General features: G+C 44.8%; 1 pseudogene; it reads right to left on the reverse strand.

Moving 5' to 3' along the window:
- On the reverse strand, positions 1,016–1,313 carry RN7SL147P (RNA, 7SL, cytoplasmic 147, pseudogene; annotated as a pseudogene).

Raw genomic sequence — 8,395 nt, forward strand, 5'->3', positions numbered from 1 at the left:
AAATGGTGCCTAGCAGAAAATAACCCAAATGTCCACCAAAAGTAGAATGGAAAAATTGTGGGATAGTCATTCAATGAAATACTACATAGCAATAAAAATGAGTGCATTATTGCCCCCTTGGAACTGCATGGGTGAATCGCATGAAGATTATGAGGAAAGAAGATAGACACAAAAGGGTTCATATTGTAGGATTAGATTTATATAAAGTTTAGAAATAGCCAAGTGAGCTGTGGTCAGTCAGGACTGGCAGCGCCAGGGCTCATGCCTGTAATCCCAGTGCTCTGGGAGGCCAAGGCAGGAAGATGACTTGAACCCAGTAGTTCAAGGCTGCAGTGAGCTGATTGCACCACTGCATTCCAGCCTGGGTGATACAGTGAGACCATGTCTCTAAAAAGTAATAAGTCAGGATGGTTCTCCAGGTGAGGAGCTAGGGAACTGAGCAGGAGGGACTTCTGGGGTCTGATACTGTTCTTTTTCTTGATCCTCATGAGCCTTTGTACTGGGTTATATTCACTTTGTGAAAATACTTTGAACTGTACACTTATGAGTTGTACATTTTTCTGTATGTTTGTTATTCTTCCATAAAATGTTCACAATTAAAATGTAAAGAGAGTATGGACTCTGGAATCGGACTGCCTGGGTTCAAATCCTGAGTTGGCTTCTTCTTGTCTGTGTCCTTGGACAAGCTACCTACCATCTGTGTCTCAGTTTCTTAATATGCAAATTGGGGAGGTAAATAATACCTGCTTCATAGAACTGTAGCAAACAGTAAATGAGATAATACATGTAAAACCCTTGAAACTGAGCCTGGCAAATGGTAAATACTCTGTCAAGGTTGGCTCTTATTATTTCTATTACGTGACCATTTTGCAACCCAATCCTGGTGAGAAACAAAGGGAGGGAAAGAACTGAGAAGAGTTTTTTATTATTAATGTTTGGGTTTTGTAGCCAAAATGATTTTTTTTAAATCAAGATGATCTCTCAAACAACTTATTTGTTTTTTTTGTTTGCTTTTAGAGACAGGGTCTCGCTATGTTGCCCAGGCTGGAGTGGACTGGCTATTCACAAGGCGATGCCACTACAGATCAGCATGGAAGTTTTGGCCTGCTCTGTTTCCCACCTGGGCTGGTTCACCCCTCCTTAGGCAACCTGGTGGTCCCCTGCTCCTGAGAGGTCACCATATCAATGTCAAACTTAGTGTGGACACCCAATTGCCATAGCGCCCTACAGCCTAGAACTCCTGGGCCCAAGTGATCCTCCCACCTCAGCCTCCTGAGTAGCTGGTACTACAGGCACAAGCCATTGCACCCAGCCAAACAATTTGTAAGCTTGCTAGCAAAATAGTTTCCAAATCAAAACGAATCCAAGCCAACCAAAGAGCTCGAAATGCACAATGGTGCCCAGTTAGTCCCTAGCTTGTGATTAGCTTTGAATTTGAGGGAAGAGATTTTCTCATTAGCTTGCAGGTTTAAAAAAAAAAGGAAAAATATTCCTGGCTCACCAATATGTTAGCAAGCTAAAAGCCTGAAACTGAAGACTTCTCCCAGCTTTTTGCTTACTGTTGCCCTTGCCACGACCTTCCTAGTTGTGAGCTGCTAAAGGACCGACTCAGGATTCCTGATAATTCTAGCTCTTTGCTGTCTGATGGGCCGGAAAGACCTCACCTTGCCTTCGTGGTGGCTCTTGGCCTTGAAGCCTCATCTCTAATTATGGCATGAAACCTTTTGTCCTCCCTGAAAGGGTTTTCAGGCTTCAGAGATCAGATGGGGGATGTAGATAATGTTGGATCCTGGGAGTCACCTTGGTAGAGGACACAGAACCATGCCATGCCCTGGGGTGGAGGGATGAAATAAGAGCTAATAACAGTCCTGCTCTTTAGAACAAAACCCTGCCGGCTGGTTCAAAATGTCACCTGGCCCTTTTTTTTTTTTTAAAGCTAGGCAATTAAATGGCTACACCTGTAGTTGTTTCTGCATGAATCCTTTGGAACAGAGGGATTGTTGTTCCAGATCCCCAGGGCAAATGAAAACTGCATAAAGCTCTGATGAAAAACCAAAGACACCAGACATCCAGAGACAGACAAACACATTCCAGCCAGCTCAGAGCAACCTCACTCTGTGGTGCTGGCACCCTTCAAAGCCGAGCATATTCATTAGTTTCTCTCTTCGGGTCCCTCCAGCCATCTCAAAATCAGTCCCTTTCATGGCTGCAGAGCGCGAACTTGCAGAGATGGATGTAGGGACGGAGAAACAACTGGGCTCTGTTTCTCCTTGGCTCAGCAGGAACGATTATTACACTCCACAGTCAGTGGAAGAATATTTCTTCCTTTGTTTAAAGGCCAAGGCAGGCAGTGATATATGAGGCTCAGCCACACAGAGTGAGAAGCAAAATACAAAGTATTTTAAAAGGTGGGGTTGAGTTCAAACCCCAGCTCTGCCACTTCCTAGCTGTGTGATCTTTGTACTTGTGAACTTGAACTTGAATCCCCTCCCCTATTCCAAGGGGCCAGGAGTACCTACTTCACGGGGTGCTGATGAGGATTAAATGAGATAGTGCATGGAGTCTGGCACAGGGCAGGCCGTTGATACATAATAGCTTTTATTTTTATTATCTGTGTCAGGTGGTGCCTGTTATGGCTTCTGAAATTACAGCCAGTCTTCTTTGACATCCCTTCTCCACTTTGAGTCTTCCAACTGAATTTTGTGGTTGGAATGTGTTTGTCTGTCTCTGGAGGTCTGGTGTTCTACTGAATCAGGCCACAGACTTCATTCCTTGGAGACACAGCGCTAGGATAATTGCTAAGAAATTGAGTTAGGGGCTGCTGTAGCTTTCTCAAGGTTGTCCAATTGTGCCTCTCTCATTTTGGGGCTGGGACTGCCTGGCTTTTTTCTCTATCTTCAAAAAGCTATGAGTGTGGGTGTGAGGTGAGTGCAGGGCTCGGCAGCTGCTCATGCCATTTGGAGAGGAGCCAGCGAGTGACGGGAGTGGCGCACACCCACGTTTGCCTGCTTTTGTCTGCCTACAGCTGCGAGAAGGAGCAGGGATCTCTCTCCTCAACTGTACCCTATTTGTACTGGTGGCCCAGCCCAGCTTGTGATAGTGACTTCCAGATCCTGACCCCAGCTTGATGTTCTTTGGCCTTATTTATTTACTTATTTATTTATTGAGATGGACTCTCGCTCTGTCGCCAGGCTGGAGTGCAGTGGTGCGATCTTGGCTTACTGCAAACTCTGCCTCCTGGGCTCAAGTGATTCTCCTGTCTCAGCCTCCCAAGTAGCTGGGACTACAGGCGCGCACCACCACGTCCAGCTAATTCTTGTATTTTTAGTAGAGACGGGGTTTCATCTTGTTGGCCAGGATGGTCTCGATCTCTTAACCTCGTGATCTGCCCGCCTCGGCCTCCCAAAGTGCTGGGATTACAAGCGTAAGCACCTGGCTTTTGGCCTTATTTTTGAGGTCTCCCTCTTTCCTCCAATAATGAAAACACTAGTAATAATATCAGGTCCCATTTTGTTTACTCTCTCACAAGATACTCGGCTATGGGGTCGGATAGACATAGGTTCATATGGCAGTGTGGCCATTTATTGGCTCTATGAATTTGACCCACATGATTCTGGCCTAAACCAGTGGTTTGCAAACTTTCCTATATAGTAGAATCACCTGGGGATGTTTTAAAAAGTCCTCCGCCCAGGCCATGCCCCTAATTACATCAGAATCTCTGGGATAGGACCTAGGCATTGGCATTTTTGCCTGCCACCAATGTGCAAGTGCCTGAGGATGGGTGAGCTGGCTCTCTAGGGTAGCCCCTGTGGCTCCGTGTGGGCCTCAGGCTAGCTGCATCAACACCACCTGGGAGCTTGTCAGAAATCCTTGACCTCAGGCCCCCCCACAGACCTACTGGATCCGAAGACCCAGGTGACTCCCCAGCATGTTAACATGTGTGCGAGAAGCGCTGGTCAGAGCGTCACTCTCCTTATCAATAAAGTGGGGGTCATAATGGTGCCCAAACCTGCCTGCTCATAGCAGTCACCTGGAATGCCTGATACACTATAGATTTATGAGGCCTCACCCCAGTCTTGCTGAATCAGAATGCCAGGGTGAGGGGCTGGGGATGTGTATTTGTACCATGTTCCCTGAGGTGATTCTTATAATCAGGCAAGTTTGAGAAATGCTGAGTTATAAGCCTCAAAGGATTACTGTCAGGATTAAATGATAAAATAGAGCTCTTGTTTTTGTTATTATTGTCACGTCTGGAGGATTTACTATCAAATGACACAATGCTAGCTGCTTTGTGCACGCTCTGAATGAGATAAATGTTATTGCCTCCATTTTGCGGAGAAAGAAACTGAACTTCAGAGGAGGAAAGTGACTTTCTGTAGGTCACACAGCTGAGGTATGACAGAACCAGCCCGACTCCGAAGTCTGTGCTCTTACCACTCCCTGCTACTGTGGAAATTTAGTTCATGCTTTTCTTTTCCTTGAGAAGAAAGTTCAGCTTTCAGCCAGGTATTAACATTGCAGATTCATCTTTCAGTTCACATACACACTCACTTGTTTTATTCATCAAATATTTACTGAGTAGCTATGATGGGTCAGATGCCACCTAAGCAGTGAGGGTACAGCAGTGAAAAAGACAAGTCCTGTTCATAGGAGCCTGCAGTCCAGTGAGGGAGACGGATGACACATGAGCTATCTCACTAGTGGTTGATTAGTTACAGTTGAGATGCAGGCTAGACAGACAGCACATTAGAAAAGCACAAGATGAGGGACCCTAACTTGCCTGTGGAGCCAGGGCAGGCTTCTCTGAGGAAGTGACTTGGATGCTGAGATGCAAAGGATGAGAAGGGGTGACCAGGTCTGAGGTGAGGGAAGTGAGCACCAGGCAGAGGGACTCTCTGGCTGATAGGAGCTGGAGTTTGCACGGACTGATAGGCTCAAGCTACCCACCTGACCCAGAGTTTTACTTACATGAATCTGGTCTTTATGCTGGTGCCAGAATGATCTAAAATACACATATTCCTGCTCCAGCTCTCTGACAACAATCCCTCAAAACTGCTTTCTCTGGCTGGATCAAGTCCCAGCACCTCGGCTGGGAATTCAAGGCCTGATATAGTTTGGATATGTTCCCCATCCATATCTCATGTTGAATTGTAATCTCCAGTGCTGGAGGTGGGGCCTGGTGGGAGGTGTTTGGATCGCGGGGGCAGCTCCTTCATGGCTTGGTGCTGTCTTCACGATAGTGAGTTCTCACAAGATCTGGTTACTTAAAAGCGTGTGGCACCTCCCCTCTCACTCTCTCTTTCTCTTGCTCCTGTTTTCACCATGTGAGACGCCTCGCTCCCCCTTTGCCTTTCACCATGATTGGAAGCTTCCTGAGGCCTCCCCAGCAGGAAGCTGCCATGTTTCCTGTACAGCCTGCAGAATTGTGAGCCAATAAAACCCCTTTTCTTATAAATTACCCAGTCTCAGGTATTTCTTCATAGAAATGGAAGAATATCCTAACATAAAGCCCTTTCTTGCCTCACCACTTCTATCTTGGATGATATATATCTCATACTTTAGCCATGTCCAACTAGGTAGAGTTTCGGCTATATTCTTTCGATGAGTCCGTGTCCTGTCATAAGCTATCCATACTGTCTGTCTGTCTGTCCACTTATCCGTCCATCTATCTATCCATCCATGCATGCATCCATTTCTGAGGAGGAGAGAGCTATTCTGCTTATTATTCGATACAGAGCTCAGATGTTACTTCTTCCACCATTCACCGGGCAGAGTTAGTTGACCCCTGATCTCTACTCCCATAGTACTATATTTTCAGTATAGCCAAGGCTGACTACGGACATACAGGCACCTGGGGCAGTATTTATCTAAGATAGACCAGATTATGCTGCAATATTACCACATTAGCCCTAAAACCTCAAAGGTTGAACACAACAAAAACTTGTTTCTTTTTTTTAAAAAACTATACTAGATAAACAACTACACTAGATAAAATTCATGTATAATAGTCACCCGTTTAAATTGTACTATCCAATGGCTTTTCGTATATTCACAGAGTTGTACCCCCATCACCACTATCTAATTTTAGACCATTTTTATCACCCCAAAAAGACACCTCTGTACTGGTTAACAGTCACTCCCTATTACCTCTCCCAGCATGGCCCTAGGCAATCACTGATCTACGTTCTGTCTCTGTCCTTGCCTATTGCGGACATTTCATATAATTGAAATTATAGATTATGTGGCCTTTTGTGTCCGGCTTCTTTTGCTGAGTGTAATGTTCTCAAGGTTCATTTATGTTGTAGCATGTATCAGTAGTTCTTTCCTTTTTATTGCTGAATAATACTCATTGTATGGATATACCATATTTTATTTATTTATCAATTGATGGATATTTGGGTTGTTTCACTTTGGGGCTATTATAAAAAATTTTATTTCTTGAGTGGTTGAAGTACACTGAGACCCCATCCAACACCCCAGGGCAGCTGTCTCCACGTGCTGACACTCAGGGCTCCCAGGTGGCTTCAGTTTTGTGGCTGTACCATCTCGACCTCTGCCTTCACTACAGCAGGGGAAGAGAGAAGCAACAGGAACCCACATTGCTCTTGGATGCTTAGGCCTGGAAGTGAAATGTGTCACCTCTGCTTACCACTGGCTAGATGGTCACATAGCCTTATATAAGCACCAGAGGGCTGGGCAGTGTACTCTTCCTATGTGCTGACAAAGAGGAAAAGGAGAAACGAACATGAGTGAGCACAAGTATTGATAATTATCCCAGGCAGGCTAATGATTTGGCATCCTTTCAAACCACTATTCTTCAAATGTTTGTTAATAGAGTATTTGGAGAAGGGGCTGAACATTGTGGGGTGTTAAGAACAGAAACAAATAGGACTCTTGGGACTCTTTGCAGTATTTAGTCTTTCTGTTGTCCAAGCAAAACACCTCTATATTAAAACTTACATCTCCATTCAGCAAACAAAAGGCCTACAGTTAATCTGAATGCTCCTTCCTAAAAGATGAGTTTTAGGGTCAGGAGCAGTGGCTCACACCTCTAGTCCCAGCAATTTGGGAGGCTGAGGCTGGTGTATCACTCGAGCCCAGGGGTTCAAAACCAACATGGGGCCAACATGGTGAAACCCCATCTCTACGAAAAATACAAAACTTAGCCAGGCGTGGTGGCACACACTTGTAGTCCCAGCTACTTGGGAGGCTGAGAAGGGAGGGTTAATTGAGCCCAGGAGATTGAGGCAGAGGTGAGCCTTGGTAGTGCCAATATACTCCAGGCTGGGTGAAGAGCAAGAACCTGTCTCAAAAAAAAAAAAAAAAAAAAAAGATTAATTTTAGAGTTCCATAAATCTCGGACCATTCTTCTTGGATGTTTTATCACCTACCTAAGTTCCTCAAAGAATTCTTCTCAACCACGTGCAGCATTCTCCTCAGAAGGAACTTCAGGAATGGTGTAGTACAGATAGCTAGCTGCCTACCCAACATTTATTCTCCTTTTCTATTTTACCCCTAATTTTAATTTAAAACTTTAAAGATAATTTAAAACTTTAGAGATGGGGTCTTGCTATACTGTCCAGGCTGGACTCAAACTCCTGTGCTCAAGTGATTTTCCCACCTCAGCCTCCTAAGTAACTGGGACTATAGGCATGTACCACCACACCTGGCCTTTCCTTTTCTTCTTTCTGAAAGTAGTACAGTACCAATAGCTAGCTGATTACTCAGTAACCATTCTCCTTCTTTTCCTTAATACCAGGACTCTGTTTTGGTTGAAAGTAATGATGTACCCATATGAAAAACTTTATTTCTTAGTCTTCCCTGAAGATAAGTGGCCAAATGACAGTACTTGATTGGGGCTTCCAGGAAAGATCTTTAAATGGCATTGACTATGCAGAGTCATCTCTTGTAATCTTGCTCATTCCTACTACTTGGAATATAGATGTGATGGCTAGCAGTACAGCATCAATCTTGTCACCATGAGGTGATTTTGAGAATGGAAGCCATGAGTTCAGCAAGACCGCCTGATGATGGAGCTACCACATCTGCCCTGAACTACTCACCTCCAGACTTCTTTTATGTAAGAGAAAGAGAAGAAAAATAAAAATATGTTTAAGGCACTGCAGTTGGGTCTCTGATACAACCAGTGTTATAGGCAGTCTTCAGCTCCAGGCTCATGGCAGAGGGAACAAGATAGAGAAGGGAAAGTAAAGATAAAGGATGGCAAGAATGGACAGGGACAAGACAAAGACCTGCATGCCAGGAACATGAAGGAAGAGTTGGACTGTGAAGGAAAGAGGAAGGAGGTAGGTAAAGATGGTGAATGAAGGCAGGTTAGTGGTTGGGGTGCTGATTCAGAATCCGATAGTGGTGAGTTTAACTCCTGGCTTCACCC

The sequence above is a fragment of the Homo sapiens genome, chromosome 3 (genome assembly GCF_000001405.40).
Source record: "Homo sapiens chromosome 3, GRCh38.p14 Primary Assembly".
Lineage (NCBI taxonomy): Eukaryota > Metazoa > Chordata > Mammalia > Primates > Hominidae > Homo > Homo sapiens.